The sequence below is a fragment of the Homo sapiens genome, chromosome 2 (genome assembly GCF_000001405.40).
Source record: "Homo sapiens chromosome 2, GRCh38.p14 Primary Assembly".
NCBI lineage: Eukaryota > Metazoa > Chordata > Mammalia > Primates > Hominidae > Homo > Homo sapiens.
The window spans coordinates 219,171,702-219,199,585 of NC_000002.12; the positions used below are offsets into that span (position 1 = coordinate 219,171,702).

A 27,884-nucleotide genomic window follows, 5' to 3' on the forward strand; every position below is an offset into this window, starting at 1 on the left:
CTAGGGCCCAGGGTCCTGGGAGCAGGAACAAAGTTGGAAATGGAAGCCTATGCCTATCAAACGATAGGAAAGTCCTGAGATGAGGCTGAGAAAACAGTTTGTGAGATGACAGGATCAGGAAGCAGGGAGGCTTGGAAGGCAGATACAGGGAGGAAAAATCTTCAAGGGCTGCCGCAGAAGGAAAAGTCCAGGCCATGCAACTGAAACTGTTTATTGAAACCTCAGTTCTACAAAAGCGTGAAAAACCCTGATACAAAGCAGTGGCCAGAGAGGCCTGGGAAGAGAATACCTGGGAGAAGAACCAGAAGAGAGGGAAACCTAGGAGCAGGACACTAAGAGAAGACTGGAAGACAAAAGATCAGGGTTGAAGGTCCCAGCAGTCCTTGGCTCCATTAGACTAAAGCTAAGGAATGGGAGTGAAAAGGGTTCCCTGCCTCACCCAGCAGCTCCCACCTGAACCCATCAGTCCCCGGCTCTTCTGCCTCAGGGACATCACACAGGCCCATGCCAACATTTCCTTTCTCCTCTCACCCCACTTCCCTTATCTCCCACCTATACTCTTCCATCCTAGGGAAATCAAAAGTAAAAGTCTAAAAAATCCCAGGGAGGCAGAGAGGGGCTTCTATGTCCATCTGGGACATGTCCCTGGTCACCAAGCGGAAGCTCTCCCTGGCGGCATCACTGTCCTGGCCAAGCAGCCAGCCACTGCGATCTAGGAGTGAATTACCTTCAGTCCTTCTGCCCCACCACCCCATAAGCTCCCACCCAGGAGGACAGGGGACCTGCCAAGGACCCAGCGAGGCAGACAGGATCTGAATCAAGCTTTGCTCCTCCAGGTTCTCAGAAACTCCCAAACCCTCTTAATGCATTCCTCACAGCCCTACCTAGCCTGGGAAAACGAAAGACTTGAGGCGAGCCAGCTCCATGACACTGAAAAGGGAACATTGCTGAGGCTGAGGAAGTGAAAGGAGCACCGGGCTCCAAGGCCAGGGGGGAGCCAGGCCATAGGTATGGTACCAGGGGCTGGACAGCGCAGTGGGGACTGTACGGTTGGGGTGGAGGCAGGCATGGCAGGTTGGGGAGTCTCTCTGGAGCTTCTGGCAAAGGTGGCAGTTATGAAGAAGAGTGGGAGGGGCAGGGGGGTCTGGGGGAGGCAATGGTGGAGGAGTCAGTGAGGCCAGAAGACTGCCCCAGAGTGACCGCAGCCCCATGCTGCCTTCCAGGCAGCTGGAGACATTAGCGAGAGACGGCAGGCATTGTGGCACAGAAGGTATGCAGGGCTCCAGGAGGCAACGGGAGGTCAGTCCAAGGTCAGGCGGCCCAGGTGTAGGGATGCAGGACAGCCCCAAAGACTGATGTATTACGGCCACCGATGCCACAGCCAGGGCCACACTGCTCACATATGCCACAGCTAACAGGCAAGACAGCTGCAGGAGAGGAGATAAGAAAGAAGGAATCTGTCTTTAACACATTCACCCCTTGTCTCTAGAAATCTGTGTTCCAGTTGGAGGTCTCTATAGCCATTTACACCCCACTCTGCCCATCTATTCCCAACCCCATCTCCTGGGCTTTTCAGCAATCACTTCACACCATCCCACCCTACACACCGGCCTGCTCAAGCTCCCTATCCTTCCGAGCCCCTCCTCACCTTTACCAGCCGCTGGCAGAGGGAGCCCAGGGCCAACTGCCAGGTCGGCTGCTCCAGCAGCACACACAGGTCTGTGTAGGTGTACCAGCCTCGCCACCGTCCCTGCTGCTCAGCCACACTGGGGGAAGTGGAGAAATGACAAGAGTATGCAACTGTCCTGCAGCCAGCCCAGTGGCACCCTCATACCACTCAGGACCCACCAGGAAACACTGGGAAGCCTGTTAAACCCAGATTCCTAGGCTATCTGCTGATCTAGAAACTAAGGGTGAGACCAAGACCTATATTTTATTTATTTTTATTTATTTATTTTGTTAAGACAGGATCTTGCTGTCTCCCAGGCTGGAGTGCAGTAGTGCAATCATAGCTCACTGCAGACTCAACATCCTGGACTCAAATGATCCTCTTGTCTCAGCCTCCTGAGTAGCTGGGATTATGGGTGTACACCACTGCATCTGGCTAGTATTTTTTTCTGGTAGGGTCAGGCATCTTGCTATATTGCCCAGGCTGGTCTCGAACTCCTGGACCCAAGTAATCCTCCAGCCTCACCCTCCCAGAGTGCTAGGATTATAGACATAACTACCATACCCACCCAATACATGTATTTTAAATAAGCTGCTTCTCACCTTCCCAAAGGTGATGAAGAAGAGGACAGATGGGTCTGGGAACCACTATCTGGGCAATTCTCTTTCTTGTCTCCTCCCTCCCCCAGTTACACAGACTCTCATCTCTAGCTCCTATGGCTGAGGACTCAGCCCCCAAATCCCTCGAGCCCTTCTTCCCAACTCCTAGAACCTACCAGCTCTCCAACCAGCTCAGCACCTCAAAGATCTCCCGAGGGTCAGTGTAGAGATGCCAATCCTGTGAGTACGGAGAGTGGACATCAAACCAGACTTGGATGAGCCACAGTCATTTAATAATAAGAGCCATAGCAGCAACTACAACCGCCCCTATGGCTAATGCATATTTGGCACTTACCATGTGCCAGATACTGTCTCAAAAGTTTTTACACATTAACTCATTGAATCACCACCTGCCTGGTTTCACATTATACTCTCCACTAAGCAAGAGGGGAGAAAATGACCCTGAGAATGGTCTGTGTCCACAGGGAGCTAAACATCTAGGGGCAGAGAAAGTATGGACACAAATATTCAGAACCCAATAGGATAAACTCTGACTCAGAGTGTACCCTGTGGGGCCCTGGAGGAATAGAGGAGGCGAGGAAATGTTCTGCTCTTGGCCTTACTGCTCTACGAATCTCCAAAAACTGGTTAGTACTGAAGAGATAGGAAAGGAAGACACTAACACAAAGGCAGGAGGAGGACAGGAAGAGAAATGACGAACCAACAGAAGACTGAGAGAGAACAAAGGACTAAAGGACGGTTAAAGATGGGCCAGGGAAACTGAGCAAGAGAGAGAACAGCTGCTCACCATGGCACTCAGGAAGCCCCTCTCCAAGGCATTGAGAGTGGGCACGGCCACACCCCCAGCAGCTCCCCATTCGTCGTTGAAGACCTCCTCCTCCTCCCCTTCATCATAGAGGTACTTACTGGCCACCATCTGCAGAGGAACCAGAAGTGGTGGAGCAGAGCTCATAGCAGGCTCTTGGCTCTTTAGGGAGATGGGGAGGGGGTGTCTTACCATGGAGATCAGGAACAAGTCAGAGGATGACACATGCTGCAAGTAGTCTGGGTTTCGGTGCCGGAGCCGTTCAATGTACACCAGAGCCAGCATCATAGCACATGGGGAGATGCATGCCTCCCTGGGTGGTAGAAAGGATCACTAATTAAACCCAAGGGTCCTTCAGCTCTTGCAAGTCTTATGATGCTCGTTCCTGTCTTTACCTCTTATCTTTGGAAAAAAACTATTCCTGGCTGGGCACGGTGGCTCATGTCTGTAATCCCAGCACTTTGGAAGACCAAGGTGGGTGGACTGACACCAGGAGTTTGACACCAGCCTGGCCAACATGGTGAAACCCCGTCTTTACTAAAAATACAAAAATTAGCCAGGGGCGGTGGTGTGTGCCTGTAGTCCCAGCTACTGGGGAGGCTGAGGCACAAGAATCACTGGAACCCAGGAGGCGGAGGTTGCGGTGAGCCGAGATTGTGCCACTGCACTCCAGCCTGGGTGACAAAGTGAGACTGTCTCAAAAAAAAAAAAAAGAAAGAAAGAAAAGAAAGAAAAGACGATTCCCCTTTCTCTAGGGCCCAAACACTCTCATCCTATCCTCATTTCCAGGCTCACCGGGACACATGAGCTACATATTTCTTCTGGAGTCGGCGAATAGGGCTGGGGGCTGCCTTCTGGAGCAGTTCGACAGCAATGTCTGCAAGGGACAGAAGGAAGGCCGAGTGAGCAAACAAGCACCCACACCCAACACACCAGTCCCCACTGCTAGCAGAAGACCCAGATCTGTATTTTCTGAGGCCTTGGGGACAGGACCATAGTAACAAAATAGAGATCAAATTCTCACACACTGAGACAAAAAGCCCATTCCAAGTTCGAATTTCAGCTCATTCTAACAGGAAAGCTTATTGCCCTGTCACATCAAACTATCCAGATTTATCTGTCACTGCTGTTCATCTGTGGCATAAACATGCCTTGTTTACTTGGGGAACATATGATGGATATCCTTCGAAAATTAGCTTTTCAATATATAAATCAAGAGTGATTTGTATAGATATATGTGGCAGCAATGTTTTTTATTCATTTGGGCTAAAAGAATGGGAAATGCAAACTGCCCTCTTGAACCAAGTACCAACGAGCTAGCAATGAAGAGACAGTGTAGCCACGGGGCAAACCTCGAGCCATTTTCTGCCTGATGACAATCCCATTTTCATGCTTCTCACTTGTCCAGTCACACAACACTGCCTAACCTGCCACCGGGCTGGAGAGCTCCTCCAGGCTACAGTCGGCTTCCCAGTCCCAGCCATAGTAGAGCCTCCTTCGGATCCGGGCACTCAGCTTCTGGTGTCCTGGGAGGAACTGAAACAGGGCAGGGGCAGCGGAGGGTGAAGGGCACGGAAAGGTATGATGCAGATCCTGGCTCTGGGCTGGAAGGCGGGGCAGGGGACAGGCCGGCCTCGCTGCTAGGGGGCCCGTGCCTTACCCAGACCCGCGTTCTGTAAATCGCTTGCCAATGGCAGCCTGGTCCATAGAGGGAGGAATGCCCCCACCCCCATCGAGGGTTCCCCGGGAGAAGTTCTCCGAGAAGGGCCCTCGTGTGGCCACCCCTACGCCCATTCCTATACTCCGCGGCTCTCCCTCCCGGCCCAAGCAGCCGCGGCCTCAAGGAAGCACTGCTCGAGCAGCTGCCGCCCAGTCCCGGCACAGCAGTCAGGCGAGCTCGCAGCGCCGCTCAGGCCGGGAGGGGCGCGCCGGGAGGCCGGGGAGGGGGCGGGACCCCCACTCACCGTGAAGTCCTGGAAGCCGGCGAGGGAGAAGGTGCCTTCTTCGTCCAGCAGGAGCCCGGTCAGGTCCATCGCGCCGCCAGTCGCCGCCCTGCGAAGGTGAACGGAAGGAAACGAGTTGTAGGGGGCTCGCGGAGCTGTCCTTGCCCGCCTGTCCACCTGCCAGCCTGCCTCCCCGGGGCGGGCCGCCGTCCTCGCCCTCGCCCTCGCAGCTCCCTCCCCCCGGCGGCGGAAGGCGGGGCCCGGGCTGAACTGGGCGCCTCTTCCTGTTCCGCCCCGGGCTTGGCGCGGCGCGCGGGGGCCCTAGGCCCGGGAAGGGAGGTGTCAAGCGTCCGTGCGACGCTCACCTCGCGGAGCAGAAAGGAGATGCGGCTGCGAGGCGCGTACTCCGCCTGTGCCGCGTCCGCCCGGCGTTTACAAGCCGCGGGGGTGCCGCCTGCAAGTCAGCGCCTGGCACTTCCTGCCGCCCATCTGGCCCAGCCTCCCGCCCCGACCCGCGGGCAGGAACCGGACTCGAACTCCTGGTCTCACGGAACGTGGCCAAGCCCCAGGCGCCTCTGAGAAATGGGGACAATTCGTAGGGGGGACCACGCCGCACTGAGGATGAACAAGCCAGGCGTAGCAATGGAGAAGTTAATGTGAATAAGACGAAACGCACAACAGGAAGTTGTTCCCAGTTGCTTTTTAGGAGAGATATTATACATACTCAGCAATGCATATGAAAAGCGTCTGAAAGGACACACAGGAAATTTAGCAGTGGGTGAACTATGAAAAGGAAGAGAAACTCAGGGTGTTTTTTTTTTTTACTGTAATTTGAACTTTTAAACCTAAGGCTACTGAGGAAATTCTGTGATCTTAAGCGAATGTAAGGCCTCAAAACGTGTCAACACGTCCACCCAAAAGTAAACTGCATCTACCCAAGGTTTTGTGTTGAAACCCACCTCCCGCCTCCGATCTCATGCTTGAGTAGGCCGAGGTGGGAAGAAGCTCCGATATGTGGAAGTGGGAAAGTTTAAGGAGATAGGAAAGAAACAACTTTTCTGAGTAGATGTTGTTTTCGAGTCTGTCGAGTCAAGCGCTGGTGTGTGTTTGTTTACCCACTGAGGGGAGGGAACTGGGAGGACCAGTGCGTTGAGGGTTGGTTGAGTAATGGGACGGCCACCGCCCTTCCCGAGCGAGCAGAAGCAGACCCTACCGGGGATACTGGGAATCTGGAAGCCCACTTCCTGCCCCACACGGGGATACCGGGGCAGCACCACACTCCCTAGCCGCCCTGCCTACTGTGGGATAAGAAAACGGGCTCGACTGCCTGGACCTAGACCCGGACTCGGAACCCGGGGTACTTCGTCAACCAGAAAACGAACCTGTGTAGGCGCAGTGTCAGCGGCAGCCGCCGGGGCGCATGCGCGGCCCGCCCTATCCGGGGGGGGGGGGGTTAGGCCGCGTCACGTGACGGGCTCAGCGCTCCGCAGTCACGTGACGCTCGTCCGCAACCTCTGCTGTCCTCCGCGGCGCCCCCTTCCGCCTGACGCGCCCCCGGCGGCGGCCGCGCAGCCCTGGCTCCTCGCGGGCTCGGGCGGCGGCTGCGGCGGGGCTATGGCGAGCGGCGGTGGCGGGGGTAACACTGGCGCGGGTGGGGGGCCGGGGATGGGCCTGAGCCTGGGCCTGGGTCTGGGTCTGAGCCTAGGCATGAGTGAGGCCACCAGTGAGGCAGAGGAGGAGGCGGCCACGGCCGAGGCGGTGGGACGCCTGGCCACGACGCTGTGGCTGCGGCTCCGCGGCTGGGAGGCGGTGCTGGCGGCGGCGCAGCGGTTGCTGGTGTGGGAGAAGCCGCTGCACAGCCTGGTCACGGCGGCCGCGCTCAACGGCCTCTTCTGGTAACGGCCGCGGAGGAGGGGGCGGGGCCGGGATGAGCGGGGGAGGGAGGGGTCGAGAGCACCATTCCCCTTTCTGGGTTATCACTTGGCCTGGGGGCATGACCCATCCCCAGTTTTTGCAGGCTGACATCCGCTTGAATTGCCCATTTTTTTCTATCTCTGAGTCGTGAGTCGCGAGTTAGGCCTGGAGGTGCCATTACCCCATCAGTAGGCGCCTTTCCACCTTCTGAGATGGATGCATGAGCCTGTCTCACCCACTCACTGCTGAGGTGCCTGTCTCTCCCTAAGGTTGCTGTCTTCCTCGTCCCTCCGGCCCTTCTTCCTACTCAGCGTCTCACTTTTGGCCTATTTTCTGCTGGATCTCTGGCAGCCTCGCTTTCTCCCTGACGTTTCAGGTGAGTGTTTCTTCATTCAGTAAGCACCCATTGGGTACTTGCTTGGTGCCTGATTCCGCTGGGTGGGGTTAAGTGGCGAGGGGAACGTACAGCAGGCCACCTGCCTCCCAGGCATGGCCCACTTCCTTTTTGTACGGAATTCCCTAAAATGAGAATTGCCCCTTTCCCAAACTAATACTACTGTAGGTGCAGTGGTTAAGATGGTGAAGTCTGCAGCCATATTACCTGGGTTCCATTCTCTGTTCTGCCATTTACCATTGCTGTGACCTTGTAAAAGTAGCTCAATTTCTGTTTGTCTCAATTTCCTTATCTGTAAAACACAGATGATAGAACTTACTTCATAGAGAGGTGAGGAGAGGATTAATGAGTTAATACACATGCTATACTTATGATAGTGTTTCACATATAAGCCTTATAAATAGAACGTCAGTGTTGTTTTTCTTGTTATCCATATAATTTACTTAGTAGGTGACAGGCTGTATGTGAGTTGCTTGGGAGATAAGCATGAGTAAAATCTAGTTCTTATGTTGGAGAAGGGTAATGTCTAAAGGAGACAGACGCAAACAAAAACATGTAACAGCTCCCCCATTGGCATCTGAAGAAGGTGCTCTGGGGCTGCAGAGGAGGGACAACTATTTCTGCCTTGGGGAGTGTCTCCCAGGGCCCCTACCACTCAATAATTTGCCCCCCTCCTCTCTCTCTAGCATCATCCCCAGAGGAGCCACACTCTGACAGGTGAGTACAGGCCACCTCTTGAAGACAAATGCCCACATCCTGTCCTGCTTGCTGGTGCCAGTGTCACCATGGAGCAGGGCAGTGCCCCAGCATTGTGAATGAACTGGTAACAAGCCATGGGTTTTTCATGGTCCTAGGCTCCTGTGTAGGTGTTTGCGTGCCTGCTCCTTTTGGGGCAGAGGGTTGGGTCCTCCTGGCTTTGCTTCTAAGACCAGGACAGCCTCCTTTTGAGAGGTGGGGTCATTTGCTTTTTTAGACTAAAGATATCTTTGGCATTCTCAGAGGGATTTAAGTGTCTAGGAAGCTGGTATCTGAGGCCTCCAGGGGTCATGTCATGTCTCCCCAGTGAGGGTGCGGGGTCAGGCGCCCGGCCGCACCTGCTGAGTGTGCCCGAGTTGTGCAGATACCTGGCTGAGAGCTGGCTCACCTTCCAGATTCACCTGCAGGAGCTGCTGCAGTACAAGAGGCAGAATCCAGCTCAGGTAACCTCCCCTACATCATACAACAGTTCACTACACTGAAGGGGAATAGAGGTGGCGGGGGATGGGAGTGGAGTGATATAAACTCCCCGCTTGGAGACCCTGAAAGAAGAGGCCTGGGCGCCTTCTTGAGGCAACATTCACAGCTAATCCCTGGTGCAGGAGGCAGTCTCACCTCAGGAAATAAGCTTTTGATAGCCTGACACTTTCTCCTGCCAAGGCAGACCAGTGTGAATTACAGGTGGTGGGCATTATGTATTGCCAGCTTCCTGAATTGGTGGTCTTGAGCATCCTCTTAACCAAACTGGACCACCCCATTCCTTGAGTACATACCCATCCTTCTACCAGCTGAGCAGTAGTTTCTTACCCAGCCGAGCGGGGCGCATATCTCAGCGTGATGTTCTTAGACTTTTGCTCTTCTCTGCAGTTCTGCGTTCGAGTCTGCTCTGGCTGTGCTGTGTTGGCTGTGTTGGGACACTATGTTCCAGGGATTATGATTTCCTACATTGTCTGTGAGTAGGGTCTGTCCCTGCCCTATTTAAAGCCCTCTCCTTTCTTCTTTCCTTGGACTGACCCAGAGGGAAGACTATGCTCTCTCTGCTCAGTTTCTGATTTGTGGAGATCTCCAGGGATGCTTTAGTATTAGTAACTGTGGAAGACTTACCTGGGGAGGAGGGCAGTGGATGTGGCAAGAAGAGGTTGGCACAGCCTTGGGAAAGGACCTTGCCTACCTTCAGCACTTCAGTTTAGGGACCAGTTGAATGGGGGCTCTTAGGAAATTGGCGTAGGGAGCTCTTAGTTCACGTTCTTAACCCATAGTGTTGAGTATCCTGCTGTGGCCCCTGGTGGTTTATCATGAGCTGATCCAGAGGATGTACACTCGCCTGGAGCCCCTGCTCATGCAGCTGGACTACAGCATGAAGGCAGAAGCCAATGCCCTGCATCACAAACACGACAAGAGGAGTAAGGGGCTGCCCTAAGCCAGGAGGGTGAAAGAGCGGGAGGGCCTTGGCTTGGGGTTCATGAGATGCCCTGGAATTGAGATCTTCTCCAGTTCTTTAGCTGTGTTTGTCTCCCCTCCCATCATTCATGCTTGGTCATTGCTCTACTACTCTTGCTTTTCTAGAGCGTCAGGGGAAGAATGCACCCCCAGGAGGTGATGAGCCACTGGCAGAGACAGAGAGTGAAAGCGAGGCAGAGCTGGCTGGCTTCTCCCCAGTGGTGAGGTCCAGGGAAAGCGGGGGTGTCAAATAGAAAGCCAGAGGAAAAATCTTTCTGCTTTGGAGCTGCCACCTCCAAAGGAGGTGGAAGCCAGAGGTTTTGGGAGAGGGGATGCTCCTGATAAATTGGTTCTCTTATCCCCTCACATGTCGTGTTCATCCTGGTTCTCCTGCCAGGTGGATGTGAAGAAAACAGCATTGGCCTTGGCCATTACAGACTCAGAGCTGTCAGATGAGGAGGCTTCTATCTTGGAGAGTGGTGGCTTCTCCGTATCCCGGGCCACAACTCCGCAGCTGACTGATGTCTCCGAGGGTATGGGGAGCCCTTTGCTGCCCTGCTCCCCGCCACAATCTTTGTGTTCCCTACCATGGGTACTTACTGTGCTCTCTGGCCCACTCACTCTCTAATTCTCTCAGCTCCTAAAAGACCTTAACACCTAAGGCTTGGCCCAGCTTTCCATGTCTTGAGTTCTCATCCTTGAACTCATTGTCTGTTGTGGCTAATCAGACCAGCAGCAGGCCCATTCTTAATTCTTTGTTCTCTGCACAGATTTGGACCAGCAGAGCCTGCCAAGTGAACCAGAGGAGACCCTAAGCCGGGACCTAGGGGAGGGAGAGGAGGGAGAGCTGGCCCCTCCCGAAGACCTACTAGGCCGTCCTCAAGCTCTGTCAAGGCAAGCCCTGGACTCGGAGGAAGAGGAAGAGGATGTGGCAGCTAAGGAAACCTTGTTGCGGCTCTCATCCCCCCTCCACTTTGTGAACACGCACTTCAATGGGGCAGGGTCCCCCCCAGATGGAGTGAAATGCTCCCCTGGAGGACCAGTGGAGACACTGAGCCCCGAGACAGTGAGTGGTGGCCTCACTGCTCTGCCCGGCACCCTGTCACCTCCACTTTGCCTTGTTGGAAGTGACCCAGCCCCCTCCCCTTCCATTCTCCCACCTGTTCCCCAGGACTCACCCCAGCCCCTGCCTGCCCCTGAGGAAGAAGAGGCACTCACCACTGAGGACTTTGAGTTGCTGGATCAGGGGGAGCTGGAGCAGCTGAATGCAGAGCTGGGCTTGGAGCCAGAGACACCGCCAAAACCCCCTGATGCTCCACCCCTGGGGCCCGACATCCATTCTCTGGTACAGTCAGACCAAGAAGCTCAGGCCGTGGCAGAGCCATGAGCCAGCCGTTGAGGAAGGAGCTGCAGGCACAGTAGGGCTTCCTGGCTAGGAGTGTTGCTGTTTCCTCCTTTGCCTACCACTCTGGGGTGGGGCAGTGTGTGGGGAAGCTGGCTGTCGGATGGTAGCTATTCCACCCTCTGCCTGCCTGCCTGCCTGCTGTCCTGGGCATGGTGCAGTACCTGTGCCTAGGATTGGTTTTAAATTTGTAAATAATTTTCCATTTGGGTTAGTGGATGTGAACAGGGCTAGGGAAGTCCTTCCCACAGCCTGCGCTTGCCTCCCTGCCTCATCTCTATTCTCATTCCACTATGCCCCAAGCCCTGGTGGTCTGGCCCTTTCTTTTTCCTCCTATCCTCAGGGACCTGTGCTGCTCTGCCCTCATGTCCCACTTGGTTGTTTAGTTGAGGCACTTTATAATTTTTCTCTTGTCTTGTGTTCCTTTCTGCTTTATTTCCCTGCTGTGTCCTGTCCTTAGCAGCTCAACCCCATCCTTTGCCAGCTCCTCCTATCCCGTGGGCACTGGCCAAGCTTTAGGGAGGCTCCTGGTCTGGGAAGTAAAGAGTAAACCTGGGGCAGTGGGTCAGGCCAGTAGTTACACTCTTAGGTCACTGTAGTCTGTGTAACCTTCACTGCATCCTTGCCCCATTCAGCCCGGCCTTTCATGATGCAGGAGAGCAGGGATCCCGCAGTACATGGCGCCAGCACTGGAGTTGGTGAGCATGTGCTCTCTCTTGAGATTAGGAGCTTCCTTACTGCTCCTCTGGGTGATCCAAGTGTAGTGGGACCCCCTACTAGGGTCAGGAAGTGGACACTAACATCTGTGCAGGTGTTGACTTGAAAAATAAAGTGTTGATTGGCTAGAACTGCTGCCTCCCTGACTGTGAGCTGCCTTCCACACCCTGCACTGCACTGTGTTCTCTCCTCACCCTTAACCTGCTTCACTCCAGTCTGTTCTGGCTGTTTATTACCTTGTTGCAAAACAGGGCCGAAGCAAGGATTACCTTGACAACCCTAGCTTCTCCTTAGCCATCTTCCTTGACAGTGTGATCTGTTTAGTGAGATTTAGCATGTGTGAATAAAGTATATGCAGGAGGAAATTGCTTTGTCTTCCCAATCGGTAGAAATTCGGGACCATAAAAATTGTGTTTTACCATGTGGCCTACAACCTTAACACTGCTTTCTTAAGAAGTCTTCACCCATCTACATGCTAACAACTCACTCAGCCTGGATTTATCTTTACTGGGGAAGCCAAACAAGCAATAGAGGACCTTTACCTGTGTTAGAAATGAGTTGGAGCCAAGGAACACTGAAGAAATAGTATCTTAACAGTTACTGAGTCCATTGTATGTGCTTGGCTCTGCTCTGAGTGATTTATATGTATTAAGATTTTTCCTCACAGGTCAGATATATACTGTTACTAACTTCATTTTATAGACAGGTTAAGCTTCCTGAAGGCCACAGGTCCCAGTAAATTGTGGAGCCAGAACCCAAACCCAAGAAGTTTTGGCTTCAGCAAATGCATCAGACAGCCCCTGTCCATTAATAGGGCACAGGTAGGAAGATGCACAAGGATGTGGGAACTATAGAGAACCAATCTGATGCCTTGGCTTAACAAAGAGTGGACATGGCAAGCCTTCCTCTTTGGGGAAGAAAAGCCCAGAACTGAGCAGATGGCCTCCTTTATGAGTTCATGTCCTCCGCCTTCAGCTGGAGGTACCATATGGCGATGCTACCTGTCTTTCTGCTGGAGGTACCATATGGTAATGCTGCCTGGCTGTCTGCTGGAGGTACCATATGGTAATGCTGCCTGTCTTTCTGAGGTTGACTTTTATGCCATGTCTTTCCTAAGTGTGTAAGAATTTTTCTGTTTGCTTCACATTTGACTGAGAATCATTCTAGGGTTTGATTGAGCCCCTGTCCTGTGCCACTAAAGGAACTCGAACTTTTCATCACTTAGAGATTTCAGAGGGGAATGGAAAAACAGTTCTAATCAATAAGCAAGCAATTCAAGAAAAATAGAATTAATCAGGCAATGACTGCAACATGTCCTATCTTTAATCTATTTTCTTATTAAGCTTGGACATTGACAATAGAACCAGAAGCTTGTAGCTGGATCAAAATATTCTCCATAGGCCTGGAGTTTCATGAGGGTCTATTCTTTTGTTGTTGTTGTTTTGGTTTTTTGTTTTTTGTGGGTTTTTTTTTTTTTTTTTTTGAGACGGAGTCTTGTTCTGTTGCCCAGGCTGGAGTGCAATGGTGCAGTCTTGGTTCACTGCAACCTCTGCCTCCCAGGTTCAAACAATTCTCCTGCCTCAGCCGTCCAAGTAGCTGGGATTACAGGTGCATGCCACGATGCCTGGCTATTTTTTGTATTTTTAGTAGAGGTGGGGTTTCACCATGTTGGCCAGGCTGGTCTCGAACTCCTGACCTCAGGTGATTCACCCACCTCGGCCTCCCAAAGTGCTGGGATTACAGGTGTGAGCCACGGCGCCCAGCCTCATGAGGGTCTATTCTTTACATTCACCATGGTCTGATGGTTGCTACATGTTTGTCTATGATTTTTTTTTTCTATTATCAGGTGTCTTGGCCGGTTCATGCCCCACGATGAAAGGGCCAGAGGTTTTCATATGAGTAAAAGAAAAAAGCAGAAATGTGAAACCTACAATTAGGCTAAACAAAAATCAACTGGAAAAGTACAGGCTGAGGGGAGAAGAGTTGGCTACATGTTTATGTTAGGGGAGGAGGGAGTACATTTTAGCTATGTATTCAAACAGCTAATAGTTTAATGTTGCTGCTTATAAACTTAATTTTAGGCTGCATTAATAAAAGTGTAGTCTCCAAAACAAGAAATGTGATAATTCTAGTGTCCTGTGCACGAATATCCTAATACTTCCAGAGGATGGCTTGCTAGGCTTGTGGGCAAATTGTAGTATGTCCAGGAGATGACTGCTAGAAATGAAGGCTGAAAATCATCATAGGACAAACTGTTGGAGGAACTGGGAATCTCTAATCCAAGAAGAGAGCTGAGTTGGTTCACATCAGCTGGCTTCAAACTTCAAAGGTTTGTCTGCAGGACTTCAGAGGGCAGATACGAGTTGAGTTTGGTTGATAATAGTGCTAGGTAGAATTTAATTTTCTAGTCAAGGGAATATTGCAAAGCAGATTTAAATGATCTGCAAAAGTATAATGATCAAGGGCGGTAATTCTAAGAATAATTCCAACATGGAAGGACAATATTATCACCATGTTTTGCTTTTAATGTCCAACTAAAGTCAGCTTGGACTTCTCTTCCTCTGTCTGCTCCCTTAAAAGTTGGTATTTTGGACCGGGTGCGGTGGCTGACGCCTGTAATCCCGGCACTTTGGGAGGCCGAGGCAGGCGGATCACAAGGTCAGGAGTTTGAGACCAGCCTGGCCTACATGGTGAAACCCCATCTCTACTAAAGTACAAAAATTATCCGGGTGTGGTGGCGCATGCCTGTAATCCCAGCTACTGGGGAGGCTGAGGCAGGATAATTGCTTGAACCCGGGAGGCGGAGGTTGCAGTGAGCCGAGATTGCACCACTGCACTCCAGCCTGGGTGACAGAGCGAAACTCTGCCCCTCACCCCACAACCTAAAAATGTTGGTATTTTGTTGGGTGTCAGTGGCTCACTTGTCTTTGCCCTCTGCTCACTCATCATGGACGATTTCATATATTCACCCATATAGTTCCCACTCAGATGCGGATGCCTTCTAAATCTTAGTTCATTTCCTTTCCCAGAACTCCCAACTAGGCATCTCCACTTGAATGTCCCATGGGTACTGCTATGATTTGAATATTTGTCCCCTTCAAAACTCAGTTGAAATTTAATCCCTAATGTGGCAATATTGACAGATGGGCCTTTAAGAGGTGAGTGGAGGCTGGATGCAGTGGCTCACACCTGAATCCCAGCACTTTGGGAGGCCAAGGTGGGCGGATCACTTGAGGTCAGGATTTCGAGACTAGCCTGGCCAAGATGGTGAAACCCCGTCTCTACTAAAAATACAAAAATAATCCGGGTGTGCTGGCACGTGCCTGTAATCCCAGCTACTTGGGAGGCTGAGGCAGGAGAATTGCTTGAACCAGGAAAGTGGAGGTTGCAGTGAGCCTAGATCATACCATTGCACTCCAGCCCAGGCGAAGAAGCAAGACTCTGTCTCAGAAAAAAAAAAAAAAAAGGTGAATGGATAAATCCGTTCATGAATTAATGGGGTGATGGAGTAATGAGTTATCATGGGAGTGGAACTCATGGCTATATAAAAAGAGGAAGAGAGATCTGAGCTAGCATGCTCAGCCCCCTCACCATGTGATCCTCTGTGCTACCTGAAGACTCTGCAGAGTCCCTATCAGCAAGAAGACCCTCACCAGATGCGGCTCCTCAACCTTCGACTTCTCATTCCCCATCACTGTAAGAAATTATTTTCCTTTATGAATTACCCAGTTTCAGGTATTCTGTTACGATACAAACAACGGAAAATGGATGAAGACAGGTAACCTTCTGCTCATTATATCCAAAACTGAACACATCCTCTTTCCACTCTGCACTCCACTCCCCCACCTCCCCAAAACAGAAGTCTTTTTCTGTAATTTCCATCTCACTTGCTGGTATACCAACCACGAAGGCCTCCTTCTCCCTCATCTCACACTCAGTTGATCACCAGTTGCTGCTGATTTCTTGACTGTCACCTCCATCACAGCCCTGACTCACATCCTCCTCATCTCATCTGGCCCAGTGGGACAGTTTCCCTGCCATATTCTTGTCCCCCCACCTGAAATTTGTGCCCAAGAAGGTGGCTGGATTATCTTAAAACACAAATCTGATGACCTCTCTACTACTTACTGTTAACTGATGGCTCTCCTCCTCTGAGACATAAATTCAACCTCCCTGATACAGTCAAGAAGTCTTCTGAGGCAGGGCACAGTGGCTCACGCCTGTAATCCCAGCACTTCGGGAGGCTGAGGTGGGCGGATCACCTGAGGTCAGGAGTTTGAGACCTGGCCAACATAATGAAACCCTGTGTCTACCAAAAATACAAACATTAGCCAAGAGTGGCGGTGCACACCTGTAATCCTAGCCACTGGAGAGGCTGAGGCCAGAGAATCGCTTGAACCTGAGAGGAAGAAGTTGCAGTGAGCCGAGATCATGCCATTGCACTCCAGGCTGGGTGACAGGAGCAAAACTCCCTCTTGGGGAAAAAAAAAAAAGGGGGAAGTCTCTGAGGCTGGGTGCAGTGGCTCATGCCTGTAATCCCAGCACTTTGGGAGGTCAAGGTGGGCGGATCACCTGAGGTCAAGAATTTAAGACCAGCCTGGCGCCACAACATGGTGAAACCCCGTCTCTACTAAAAATACAAAAACTAGCCAAGAGTGGTGGTGGCGTGCTCCTGTAATCCCAGCTACTGGGGAGGTGGAGGCATGAGAATCACTTGAACCCAGGAGGTGGAGGTTGCAGTGAGCCAAGATCACCCAACTGCACTCCAGCCTGGGCGACAAAGTGAGGCTCTGTCTCAAAAACAAAACAAAAGTAATCCCAGCACTTTGAGAGGCCGAGGATGGCTCATTTGAGGTCAGGAGTTCAAGACCAGCCTGGCCAACCTAGTGAAACCCCGTCTCTACTAAAAATACAAAAATTAGCCGGGTGTGGTGGCGCATGCCTGTAGTCCCAGCTACTCAGGAGGCTGAGGTGGGAGAACCGCTTGAACCCGGGAGGCAGAGGTTGCAGTGAGCCGAGATCATGCCACAGCACTCCAGCCTGGGCGGCAGAGCAAGACTCCATCTCAAAAAAAAAAAAAAAAAAGTATTCTGAGATTTGACGCTGGCCTGTCTTTACAGCAACAGCAAACCCCAAACAGCTTGTCCTCCCCACTGCTCAGTTGTGCTGCCCTCCCCCACCTCTGCTCTACACACACACCCCCTATCCCTTCACTTGGCAAATGTCTCACTTACCTTTTTATTTTATTTTATTTTATTTTATTTTATTTTATTTTATTTTATTTTATTTTATTTTTTTGAGATGGAGTCTCGCTCTGTCGCCCAGGCTGGAGTGCAGTGGCATAATCTTCAGCTCACTGCAACCTCCACCTTCCGGGTTCAAGCGATTCTCCTGCCTCAGCCTCCCAAGTAGCTGGGACTACAGGCTCACACCACCATGCCCAGTTAATTTTTTTGTATTTTTAGTAGAGACATGGTTTCATCATGTTGGTCAGGCTGGTCTCAAACTCCTGACCTCAAATGATCCACCCGCCTCTGCCTCCCAAAGTGCTGGGATTACAATCGAGAGCTACCATGCCCGACTTTCACTTATCTTTTAAGATGCACTTCAGGCCACACCTCATCTACCAATGTCCCCTGATATCCCTCACCATGCCACCCCCCACCCCAATGTCAGTCCCACTCTCCTAGTGCTTTTGTAGTCTATTGGGCATACTTCTGTTTTCCCACTTACCACAGGGAATCCTTATACCCTCTCTGAAAGTATGTGGATATAGAGTATATAGGTCTGTGTGTGTGTGTGTGTGTGTGTGTGTGTGTGTGTATACAGATACATATATACGTATGTATACCCGCCACAATACTGCTTATTCTTGAAGGCAGAGACAATGTCTTATCATCTGAATATCCTCAAAGCCTAGCATAGTGTCTGGCACATAGTAGGTGCTCAAAAAATGCGTGTTAGACTAAATTGAACTAATACTAGAGTAACCAGTTATAGATTTTGAAGCAACTAGTGAAAAGAGTTTGGTGACTGATACATGGCTATGTTATTGATGCATGCCTTTGCTTGTCCATTACTGTTCTAGAGGGAATAGTAGCTAGGTTAAAATAATCGGCAGATAGACTTGTGAGTTCTTTTTCCCTGGACTAGGTTAAAGGCAATTCAAACAATCTAGAGCTGGAGATTCGTATTTGCTGGTTTGGGAGCGGGGTTTTCTGAGTTTAAGGTAAGATTGCCCAACTAGCTTGATCTTCTGTGATTGCATCAAATTATTATGTTGTTTGGAAAACAATTTTGGATTTAGACTCTTTTTTGAGACAGAGTCTTGCTCTGTTGGCCAGGCTGGAGTGCAGCTGTAAGGTCATAGCTCACTGCAGCCTTAAACTCCTGGGCTCAAGTGACCCCTTTGCCCCAGCCTCCCGAGTAGCTGGGACTACAGGTGCCCACTACCATGCCCAGCTAATTTTTTGTTTGTTTTGAGACAGAATTTCACTCTTGTTGCATAGGCTGGAGTGAAATGGTGCAATCTCAGCTCACCGCAAACTCCACCTCCCGGGTTCAAGTGATTCTCCTGCCTCAGCCTCCCTAGTAGCTGGGATTACAGGCATGCACCACCACACCTGGCTAATTTTGTATTTTTAGTAGAGACAGGGTTTCTCCATGTTGGTAAGGCAGGTCTCAAACTCCCGACCTCAGGTGATCCACCTGCCTCGGCCTCCCAAAGTGCTGGGATTACAGGTGTGAGCCACCGCACCTGGCCCAGCTAATTTTTAAAGTATCTTTTAGAGACAAGGTCTTGCTTTGTTGCCCAGGCTGGTCTCAAATTCTTGACTTCAAACAATCTTCCCACCACAGCCTCCTGAGAAGCTAGGATTACAGGCATGAGCCACTGCACCTGTGATATGGTTTGGTTGTGTCCTCACCCAAATCTCTCACCCTTTAGGAAATGACTAGATCATGAAAGCTCCACCCTCATAAATGGGATTAGTTGGCTAGGCATCGTGGCTCACCCCTGTAATCCCAGTACTTTGGGAGGCCAAGGCCAGTAGATCACTTGAGGTCAGGAATTCGAGACCAGCCTGGCCAACATGGTGAAACTTGGTAGGCAGAGGTTGCAGTGAGCTGAGATCACGCCATTGCACTCCAGCCTGGGCGACAAAGTGAGACTCTGTCTCAAAAAAAAAAAAAAAAAAAAAAAAAAGGCCGGGCACGGTGGCTCATGCCTGTAATCCCAGCACTTTGGGAGGCCGAGGCAGGTGGATCACCTGAAGTCAGGAGTTCGAGACCAGCCTGACCAACATGGTGAAAGTTTGTCTCTACTAAAAATACAAAAATTAGCCTGGCATGGTGGTGCACGCCTGTAGTCCCAGCTACTCAGGAGCCTGAGGCAGGATAATCACTTGAACCCAGGAGGCAGAGGTTGCAGTGAGCCAGGATAGTGCCACTGCACTCCAGCCTGGGTGACAGAGAGAGACGGTGTCTCAAAAAAATAAAATTGGGGTTAGTGCCCTTATAAAAGGACTTGAGATAACCTAACCCTGTTTGCGCCTTCTACCATTTGAGGACACATAGAAGGTGCCATCTATGAGGATGGGCCCTCACTAGACACCAAAGCTGCTGGTGCCTTGATCTTGGACTTCCCAGCATCCAGAATTGTAAGCAATAAACTTTGATTGTTTATAAATTATCTAGTCTCAGGTATTTAGTTATAGCAGCCCAAATGGACTAAGACAACACTTCAGTAAAAAGTGTCAATACCAAAGTGTACTGATAATTTACTTCTGCATAACAAACTACTCTAAAGTTAGCAGCCTAAAACAACAAACATTATCTCACACTACTTCTGAGGATTAGGAATCTGGGTAGTTGGCCGGGTGTGGTGGCTCACGCCTGTAATCCCAGCACTTTGGGAGGCTGAGGTGGGCAGATCACGAGGTCAGGAGTTCGAGACCATCCTGGCCAACCTGGTGACACCCTGTCTCTACTAAAATACAAAAATAAGCTGGGTGTGGTGGCATGTGCCTGTAATCCCAGCTACTCAGGAGGCTGAGACACAAGAATCGCTTGAACCTAGGAGGCGGAGGTTGCAGTGAGCCGAGATCGTGCCACTGCACTCCAGCCTGGGCGACACAGCAAGACTCCGTCTCAAAAAAAAAAAAAAATCCACCTCTTGAAGGGAGAAGTATCAAAGAAATTGTAGATATAGTTTTAAACTACCACACAAAATTTACTTGGAAATTATATCAAAGGATTTGGACTGACAATGTACTAATTTTTTAAAATTAAAAATACAATTTATCAACACATGAGAAATGAACAAATTTAGTAATAACTAAGAAATATACAAACAAGTCGGGCGTGGTGGCTCATGCTGAGGTGGTAGGATCACTTGAACCTAGGAATTCGAGGCTACAGTGAGCTATAATCGTGCCACTGCATTCCAGCCTGGGTAACAGAGTGAGGCCCCATCTTAATAAAAATAGGCTGGGTGCAGTGGTTTACGCCTGTAATCCCAGCACTTTGGGAGGCCAAGAGTTCAAGACCAGCCTAGGCAACATAGTGAGACCCACCCCCCCATCTCTATAAAATATATATAATTAAAAAATTAGCCAGGTGAGGTGCTTGTGCCTATGATCTCAGCTACTCTGGAAGCTGAGGCAGGAGGATCGCTTGAGCCCATGAGGTTGAGGCTGCAGTGAGCCGTAACTGAGCTACTGCACTCCAACCTAGGCAACAGAGCAAGACCCTGTCTCATAAAAAAAAAAAGCACAAACAACTAATAATATACATTTGTTAATTATTGAGTATGTGTCAGTCATAGAATTCAGTGCTTTACATGCATCATTTTATTTAATCTTCATCACTCCGCATTGATGTAGGAACTGATTTTTATAGATGAGGAACTGGAGGCTTATTGAGGTAAAATGACTTGGCCAAAGTCACGCAGCTGGTTGTGATCACAATACTGTTTTTCAGTATTCTGGTATTCCCACATATCCTCATATTTTAAAGTACCAAAACAGAACTTTAGTTGAGGCGAAATAATTCCTTTTATTTATTTATTTAGTTTTTTTGAGACAGAGTATCGCTCTGTCACTCAGGCTGGAGTGCAGTGGCACAATCTGGGATCACTGCTACCTCCGCCTCCCGGGTTCAAGAGATTCTTCTGCCTCAGCCTCCCGAGTAGCTGGGACTATAGGTGCACACCACCATGCCTGGCAAATTTTTGTATTTTTTTAGTAGGGACGGAGTTTCACTACGTTGGTCAGGCTGGTCTTGAACTCCTGACCTCCACCTGCCTCGGCCTCCCAAAGTGCTGGGATTACAGGCGTGAGCCACTGCGCCCGGCCCTAAGTGAAATAATTCTTTAAGCATTAAAAAAAGAGATCTGACTTCTAGATCATTTGTAAATGAGGTATAGCTGCATTAAAAATTTGAACACACAAGGGCTTATTTGTTTAGAAAGCATTGTTGCATTCCACAGACTTCAAAAGGAGAAAAAAATGTCAATGGACAAAACAAGCTTCTGTTGCGACAACAGTTATTCTAGTTCAAAGACTCTTTAAACAAGTAGACCTTAGAAACAGGACATTAAATTTTAAATGAGTTTTCTGCATCAGAATCTCAATCTATATTCAATGAAATTGAAAAAGATGGATATAGGGCTCTGCATGGTGGCTCATGCCTGTAATCCCAGCTTTTTGGGAGGCTGAGACAGAAGGATCCCTTGAGCCCAGAAGTTTGAGGCTGCAGTGAGCCATGATCATGCTATTGCACTCCAGAATGGGTGACAGAGTGAGACCCGATCTCTAAAAAATAAATAAATAAATAAAAAATAACTGAGAAAAGATGGATTCAAACCAAAAATATGTCCTTTGAAGAAAAAACTAGAGCTCACCAGAATTTAAAACAAAAAAACACATCTATGCAAAGAAACAAAATAATTGTTCAAAAAGATCTCATCCAGGATCATGAGAGCTATTTTTTTAAAAAAAGGAAAAAAAATAAAACTCCTCAAAGTTACCAAACAAGAGATGAGATTATTTAAACAAGAAATAATGAAATAACTATGTGAAGTTAAATTATAACCATCTCTTTACCATTCTCCTGAGTAGTATAACACCAGAAAGAGCTTTTTAGAAGCTAGCAAAATTTGCACAAAAAATACATTTGCAACTTAACAGTAACACCTTTATATATTTTAAGAGATCTCTATTCTTTTTGAGACAGAGTCTCACTCTGTTGCCCAGGCTGGAGCGCAATGGTGCCATCGTGGCTCACTGCAAGCTCCGCCTCCCGGGTTCCCGCCATTCTCCCTCCTCAGCCTCCCGAATAGCTGGGACTACAGGCGCCCGCCACCACGCCCGGCTATTTTTTTGTATTTTTAGTAGAGACAGGGTTTCACTGTATTAGCCAGGATGGTCTCGATCTCCTGACCTCGTGATCCACCCACCTTGGCCTCCCAAAGTGCTGGGATTACAGGTGTGAGCCACCATGCCCGGCCAAGAGATCTCTAGTCTTAAATAAAGCAGGCCAGGAATGGTGGCTCACACCTGTAATCCCAGCACTTTGGGAGGCCGAGGTGGGTGGATCATTTGAGGTTAGGAGTTCGAGACCAGCCTGACCAACATGGTGAAACCTCATCTCTACTAAAAATACAAAAATTAGCTGGGTGTGGTGGTGCGTGCTTGTAATACCAGCTACTCAGAAGGCTGAGGCAGGAGAGTTGCTTGAACCCAGCTTGAACCCGGGAGGCAGGGGTTGTGGTCAGTGGAGATCGCGCCACTGCACTCCAGCCTGGGCAACAGAGTGAGACTCCATCTCAAAAAATAAAAAAATAAAAAGAGCAAATAATTTTATTTTCAATTATTTATGATTACATTTTCATTTTTATTAGAGTTTAATTTTTTACTTTAACATGTTATTACTTCTGTTGATTTATATTAAAATAATTATATTTAAGTCATATTTCTACATTTAGTTATATATAAATATATACATAAATGTTTGTCTTTCAAAGGTATTAAGCATTTTGTTTTTAATGTTGAACATTTTGCTTTAAAAATAAATTACCATTTTATATAAAATAAATACTGAAATACTAGTGAAGTCACTGTGCACTGGTCTTTCCATTTCTAACCGCTGGTAATTACTGGCACTGGGATTTGAACTCAGAATAGCTCCAGTTTTACATTTCGTCTAAATCAGGGTTTCTCAAAGACTGTACTACTGACATTTTGAGCCAGATAATTATTATTTGGTGGTAGGTGGGGCTGACTGTCTTATTCATTGTAGAATGTTTTTTGTTTGGTTGGTTTTGGGTTTTTGTTTTGTTTTGTTTTTTTGTTTTTGAGACAGGGTCTCACTTTGTTGCCCAGGCTGGAGTGCAGTGGCATGAACACAGCTCACCTGCAGCCTCAACCTCCTGGGCTCAAGTGATCCTCCCACTTCAGCCTCCCAAGTATATGGGGACTACAGTTGTGTGCCACCACACTCAGCTAATTAGAAAATTTTTTTTTTAATTTTTAATGTGTGTGGGTACATTGTAGGTGTATATATTTATGGGGTACATGAGATATTTTGATACAGGCATGCAATGAGTAATAATGACACCAGGGCAAATGGGGGTATCCATCACCTCAAGCATTTATCCTTTGTGTTACAAACAATCCAATTATACTCTTTTAGTTATTTTTAAATGTACAATTAAATTATTTTTGACTATAGTCACTCTGTTGTGCTAGCAAATACTAGGTCTTATTCATTCTTTCTAATTTTTAAAATTTTTGTAGCGCCTGGGTCCCGCCATGTTGCCCAGGCGACGTAGAATGTTTAGTATCATCCTCGCTTGCTTGCCACCCATTTGATGCCAAAAGACACCCCCCTCCTACCTCCCCACCCCCCAAATATCCCCTGGAGGCAAAATTGCCCTGGTGGATCACCACTGATCTAACTGATAGTACCCTCTGGTTATATGGGAAAACTGCTAAACTTGGAAGCAGGAGGTGAGTTTGAACCCTAGTTTTTGCCACCTGAATATAGATGTTTATACACACACATTTCAAAACAATACAAAAATTACCTGGCTGTTCAGCTTCATATCTCTCCCCATTTCCTTCCTCTAATGGGATATTCCAACCCCAGAACAGCAGGTGTTTATAACCCTCCCTTCTCATTCCTCTCTTGTATTTGCATCTTTCAGTCAGGACCACTTTTCTGTCCATCTCACCTGGACAATCCTGAGTCACTCTTCAAGACTGAGCTCAGACAAGCTAAAGGCAGGCCCCTGAAAGGCAGAGGTGGCTAGCCCCATGGCAGGAGAGGGCTTAGAGGCTGTGATTAAAGATTCAAAGCCACTAGGACCTTGGTTTTAATGTTAAGGGACCACCTAAACTTTCCTGAAGATGAGGCTAATTCTGGCTGAGGGAAAACAAAAGAAGCCAGGAAGCTTCTCAGGAAGTAAAACTGAGGAACAGAGCTCGAATCTGACTCAAGAAAGCAGGTTTGAAGAGACAGAACACAAATAAGCCTTGCATTCCTTGAAAACAGATTCCCAACAAATGATAGGAGGTGGGGTTCAGGAGAAGGTCCAGACAGCCTCTCCATTTTTTTTTTCTTTGAGACAGAGTCTTGCTCTTGTTGCCCAGGCTCTAGTGCAGTGGCGCGATCTAGACTCACTGCAACCTCCACCTTCCAGTTTCAAGAGATTCTCCTGCCTCAGCCTCCCGAGTAGCTGGGATAACAGGCGCCTACCACCATGCCTGGCTAATTTCTGTATTTTTAGTAGAGACACGGTTTCACCATGTTGGCCAGGCAGGTCTCGAACTCCTGACCTTGTGATCTGCCTGCCTTAGCCTCCCAAAGTGCTGGGATTACAGATGTGAGCCACCGCACCTGGCCGCCTCCCTTATCTTAACAAACTCCTCAGACTGTGCAGGGTTTTTTTTCGCGTTTTTTTGTTTTTGTTTTTGAGACGGAGGCTTGCTCTGTTGCCCAGGCTGGAGTGCAGTGGTGTGATCTCAGCTCACTGCAATCTCCGCCTCCCAGGTTCAAGTGATTCTCCTGCCTCAGCCTCCTGAGCAGCTGGGACTACAGGCATGTGTCACCATGCCCAGCTAATTTTTGTATTTTTAGTAGAGATGGGTTTCTCCGTGTTGGCCAGGCTGGTCTCAAACTCCTGACCTCAGGTAATCCACCCGCCTCGGCCTCCCAAAGTGCTGAGATTACAGGCGTGAGCCACCGCACCCAGCCTGTTTTGTTTTGTTTTGAGATGGAGTCTCCCTCTGTAGCCCAGGCTGGAGTGCAGTGGTGTGATCTTGACTCACTGCAACCTCTGCCCTCTGGGTTCAGGCAATCTCCTGCCTCAGTCTCCCAAGTAGCTGGGATTACAGGCGTGAGCCACCATGCCCAGCTATTTTTCTTTTTCTTTTTTCTTTTTTTTTTTTTTTCTGAGACGGAGTCTCCCTCCGTCGCCCTGGCTGGAGTGCAATGGCAGGATCTCGGCTCACTGCAACTTCCGCCTCCCTGGTTCAAGCAATCCTCGTGCCTCAGCCTCCCAAGTAGCTGGGATTACAGGCGTCCACTACCAAGGCTGACTCATTTTTTTTTTTTTTTTTTTTTGAGACAGAGTCTCACTCTGTCGCCCAGGCTGGAGTGCAGTGGCACAATCTCGGCTCACTGCAAGCTCTGCCTCCTGGGTTCATGCCATTCTCCCGCCTCAAGCCTCCCGAGTAGCTGGGACTACAGGCACCCGCCCCCACGCCCGGCTAATTTTTTGTATTTTTAGTAGAGACCGGGTTTCACCATGTTAGCCAGGATGGTCTCGATCTCCTGACCTCATGATCCGCCCACCTCAGCATCCCAAAGTGCTGGGATTACAGGAGTAAGCCACCGCGCCCAGCTTCTAACCTCTACTTTTTGAAAAATAATTTCCTCCCATCCAGTTTCTGTTTTGGGCACTCCTGTTCATAAAATCTTGAAACTCCTGGACTGATATTCTACTTTGCTTATTTTCCATTCCTTTACATTTTTTTGTTCTACTTCCTATATTTTCTCAACTTTATGTTGTACCCATTCTTTGGAATGTGCTATATTTCTGTGATTATATTTTTAAAAATGTCTAAGAGCTTTATTTTCTGAATATCCTTCCCCCTGTCCTCCCCACCCCCCATTTTATGAGATAGAATTTCACTATGTTGCTCAATCTGGACTCCAACTCCTGGGCTTGAGCAAACCTCTTGCTTCAGCCTCCTGTGTAGCTGGGATTACAGGTACACACCATTACACCTGGCTTGAATATCCCTTTTTATGTTTTTTTGCTCCTGTGTGTTAAATGAAAAATCTGCTCCCTGAGCTGGGCACAGTGGCTCACACCTGTAATCCCAGCACTTTGGAAGGCCAAGGCGGGTGGATCACCTGAGGTCGGGAGTTCGAGACCAGCCTGACCAACATGGAGAAACCCCGTCTCTACTGAAAATACAAAATCAGTCGGGCATGGTGGTGCATGCCTGTAATCCCAGCTACTAGGGAGGCTGAGGCAGGAGAATCGCTTGCACCTGGGAGGTGGAGGTTGTGGTGAGCCGAGATCGTGCCACTGCACTCCAGCCTGGGCAACAAGAGTAAAACTCCATCTCAAAAAAAAAAAAAATCTGCTTCCTGAGTACACTGTATTAATATTAATCATTTTCTTTTTTTTTTTTTTTTGAGACAGAGTCTTACTCTGTCGCCTAGGCTGGAGTGCAGTGGCACTATCTCAGCTCACTGTAACCTCTGCCTCCCGGGTTCAAGTGATTCTCCTGCCTCAGTCTCCCGAGTAGCTGGGATTACAGGCGCCTGCTACCAAGCCCAGCTAATTTTTGTATTTTTAGTAGAGACAGGGTTTCGCCATGTTGGCCAGTCTGGTCTCAAACTCCTGACCTCAAGTGATCCAACTGCCTTGGCCTCCCAAGGTGCTGGAATTACAGGCGTGAGCCACCACGCCTGGCCTAATCATTCTCTTTTTTTTTTTTTTTTTTTTTTTTTGAGACAGAGTCTCACTCTGTTGCCCAGGCTGGAGTGTAGTGGCGCCATCTTGGCTCACTGCAACCTCTGCCTCCTGGGTTCAAGCGATTCTCCTGCCTCAGCCTCCCAAGTAGCTGGGACTATGGGCACCCACCACCACACCAGCTAATTGTTGTATTTTTCGTAGAGACAGGGTTTTACCATGTTGGCCAGGCTGGTCTCGAACTCCTGACCTCAGGTGATCTGCCCACCTCAGTCTCCCAAAGTGTTGGGATTACAGGCGTGAGCCACTGCCCCCAGCCCTGAGCATTCTTAATAAGTTATATTATTATATTATTAGTAGTCTAGTTATATAAATTATATTTTTACATTCCCTGCATTGTACTTGTTTTCCTCCTCACCACCATTTATGTCTTTATTTTGGCTTCTGTCTTTCATGGAAGAGACTTCCCTCAAACCCTGGTTTGCTCCTTCATATCTGAGCAGAGGCACTTAAAGGCCAACTGAATGCTCTCTAAAATTCGAAGATTTGCATCTTCCCTGCAGGGTGAGGTGGCAGAGACAACCATTGTGTTGAGATCCCTCAATGCCCAGAGAATTTTTAGGCTGCTCGGTTCTTCCAGAGAAGAACCCTGCAGCCTCTGGCCTGGGGACCATGAACCTGGCTGCTAGTGCTCTAGAGTCAGGAGAAAATAGCTGCAGTTTCTCTCCCTCTTCACCCTCAGCTGGCTGACAACCTGAAGCCCAGGGACCCATTGCTTCATTCTCTCCAGAGAACCCAGATACCTCCTGCCTTTTCTGGGGGGGCAGTGGGAGAGGGGCAGTCACCCAGCTGCCCAGGCTGGAGGAGGGAACATGAGGGTCTAACTGCTCCTTATGTCGAGTTTAAACTCACCCTTCATTTCCAGCCCCCTCCTTCCACCCCTACCTTTGGAAAGCTTGATGCTCCCAGTCCCAAGCCTTTCAGCGGCAACGAAGTCAACACTGGCCTGCCGCTTGTTGTTCCCACCGTTTCAACTTCCTCGGACCCTAGTCAGTTTTCCTTCTTCCATCAGATGTTTAGCTCCCAAAATGTTTTTGTCATATCTTCATGTATTGTTTTCGCTTCTGTTCTCCTTATTGTTTTACTGTTATTTTGGTGGGGTTTGGGAAGGAAGCAAACATAAAATCACATGCATTCATTTTACCACATTTAGCAGAGTCTCTTTCACCTCTCACCTC

General features: G+C 49.2%; 2 protein-coding genes across 10 annotated transcripts, besides 9 other annotated features; one reads left to right on the plus strand and one right to left on the minus strand.

Annotated features, from left to right (window-relative positions):
* Positions 1 to 195: 195 nt before the first annotated feature.
* CNPPD1 (cyclin Pas1/PHO80 domain containing 1) lies at positions 196 to 6,455 on the minus strand. Of its 6 annotated transcripts, none has more exons than NM_001321390.2 (9): positions 6,420 to 6,455; positions 5,059 to 5,146; positions 4,522 to 4,630; positions 3,890 to 3,971; positions 3,287 to 3,407; positions 3,077 to 3,205; positions 2,445 to 2,506; positions 1,649 to 1,766; positions 196 to 1,427 (listed from the first exon to the last, which is right to left on the minus strand). In NM_001321390.2, the coding sequence occupies exons 2-9, from the start codon at positions 5,125 to 5,127 to the stop codon at positions 885 to 887; spliced, it is 1,233 nt and encodes a 410-aa protein (NP_001308319.2). In that variant the 5' UTR covers positions 5,128 to 5,146; positions 6,420 to 6,455; the 3' UTR covers positions 196 to 884. The 6 variants fall into 6 exon arrangements, 4 of the variants coding, with proteins under 4 accessions (NP_001308319.2, NP_001308318.2, NP_001308320.2 ...); NM_001321389.2 differs by lacking the exon at positions 6,420 to 6,455 and adding an exon at positions 5,997 to 6,120; NM_001321391.2 differs by lacking the exon at positions 6,420 to 6,455 and adding an exon at positions 5,403 to 5,473.
* Positions 4,846 to 5,140: a silencer, noted in NCBI's record as "tiled region #9830; HepG2 Repressive DNase matched - State 1:Tss". NCBI's record gives its function as "represses a minimal TATA promoter and a strong SV40 promoter by Sharpr-MPRA in HepG2 cells {active_cell/tissue: HepG2}" and the evidence as "EXISTENCE:reporter gene assay evidence [ECO:0000049][PMID:27701403]".
* Positions 4,979 to 5,038: a silencer, noted in NCBI's record as "silent region_12341". NCBI's record gives its function as "represses an Ori minimal core promoter by ATAC-STARR-seq in GM12878 lymphoblastoid cells {active_cell/tissue: GM12878}" and the evidence as "EXISTENCE:reporter gene assay evidence [ECO:0000049][PMID:35858748]".
* Positions 5,159 to 5,368: a silencer, noted in NCBI's record as "silent region_12342". NCBI's record gives its function as "represses an Ori minimal core promoter by ATAC-STARR-seq in GM12878 lymphoblastoid cells {active_cell/tissue: GM12878}" and the evidence as "EXISTENCE:reporter gene assay evidence [ECO:0000049][PMID:35858748]".
* Positions 5,439 to 5,488: a silencer, noted in NCBI's record as "silent region_12343". NCBI's record gives its function as "represses an Ori minimal core promoter by ATAC-STARR-seq in GM12878 lymphoblastoid cells {active_cell/tissue: GM12878}" and the evidence as "EXISTENCE:reporter gene assay evidence [ECO:0000049][PMID:35858748]".
* Positions 6,269 to 6,769: an enhancer, noted in NCBI's record as "H3K27ac hESC enhancer chr2:220042692-220043192 (GRCh37/hg19 assembly coordinates)". NCBI's record gives its function as "activates a minimal SCP1, AML or CMV promoter by ChIP-STARR-seq in naive H9 embryonic stem cells {active_cell/tissue: H9 hESC(naive)}" and the evidence as "EXISTENCE:reporter gene assay evidence [ECO:0000049][PMID:30033119]".
* Positions 6,269 to 6,858: a biological region, named in NCBI's record as "H3K27ac hESC enhancer GRCh37_chr2:220042692-220043192".
* Positions 6,479 to 6,558: a silencer, noted in NCBI's record as "silent region_12344". NCBI's record gives its function as "represses an Ori minimal core promoter by ATAC-STARR-seq in GM12878 lymphoblastoid cells {active_cell/tissue: GM12878}" and the evidence as "EXISTENCE:reporter gene assay evidence [ECO:0000049][PMID:35858748]".
* On the plus strand, positions 6,574 to 13,774 carry RETREG2 (reticulophagy regulator family member 2). Of its 4 annotated transcripts, XM_005246848.4 has the most exons (10): positions 6,574 to 6,932; positions 7,221 to 7,327; positions 8,032 to 8,062; positions 8,409 to 8,544; positions 8,969 to 9,053; positions 9,361 to 9,504; positions 9,668 to 9,762; positions 9,939 to 10,074; positions 10,312 to 10,607; positions 10,713 to 13,774. In XM_005246848.4, the coding sequence occupies exons 1-10, from the start codon at positions 6,652 to 6,654 to the stop codon at positions 10,926 to 10,928; spliced, it is 1,527 nt and encodes a 508-aa protein (XP_005246905.1). In that variant the 5' UTR covers positions 6,574 to 6,651; the 3' UTR covers positions 10,929 to 13,774. The 4 variants fall into 4 exon arrangements, with proteins under 4 accessions (XP_005246905.1, NP_077269.3, NP_001308038.1 ...); NM_024293.6 differs by having other exon boundaries at positions 10,312 to 13,774; NM_001321109.2 differs by having other exon boundaries at positions 8,497 to 8,544; positions 10,312 to 13,774.
* Positions 6,609 to 6,858: a silencer, noted in NCBI's record as "silent region_12345". NCBI's record gives its function as "represses an Ori minimal core promoter by ATAC-STARR-seq in GM12878 lymphoblastoid cells {active_cell/tissue: GM12878}" and the evidence as "EXISTENCE:reporter gene assay evidence [ECO:0000049][PMID:35858748]".
* Positions 6,939 to 7,008: a silencer, noted in NCBI's record as "silent region_12346". NCBI's record gives its function as "represses an Ori minimal core promoter by ATAC-STARR-seq in GM12878 lymphoblastoid cells {active_cell/tissue: GM12878}" and the evidence as "EXISTENCE:reporter gene assay evidence [ECO:0000049][PMID:35858748]".
* Positions 13,775 to 27,884: the final 14,110 nt, after the last annotated feature.

Coding starts and splice junctions, on each gene's coding strand:
- CNPPD1 (NM_001321390.2), bottom strand. CDS start 5,127: ATGGACCTGACCGGGCTCCTGCTGGACGAAGAAGGCACCTTCTCCCTC. Junction 2,507..3,076: donor GGGGCTTCCTGAGTGCCATG/GTGAGCAGCTGT, acceptor CCGTACTCACAG/GATTGGCATCTCTACACTGA. Junction 1,428..1,648: donor TCTGCCAGCGGCTGGTAAAG/GTGAGGAGGGGC, acceptor CCTCTCCTGCAG/CTGTCTTGCCTGTTAGCTGT.
- RETREG2 (NM_024293.6), top strand. CDS start 6,652: ATGGCGAGCGGCGGTGGCGGGGGTAACACTGGCGCGGGTGGGGGGCCG. Junction 9,505..9,667: donor TCACAAACACGACAAGAGGA/GTAAGGGGCTGC, acceptor TTGCTTTTCTAG/AGCGTCAGGGGAAGAATGCA. Junction 9,763..9,938: donor TGGCTGGCTTCTCCCCAGTG/GTGAGGTCCAGG, acceptor TTCTCCTGCCAG/GTGGATGTGAAGAAAACAGC.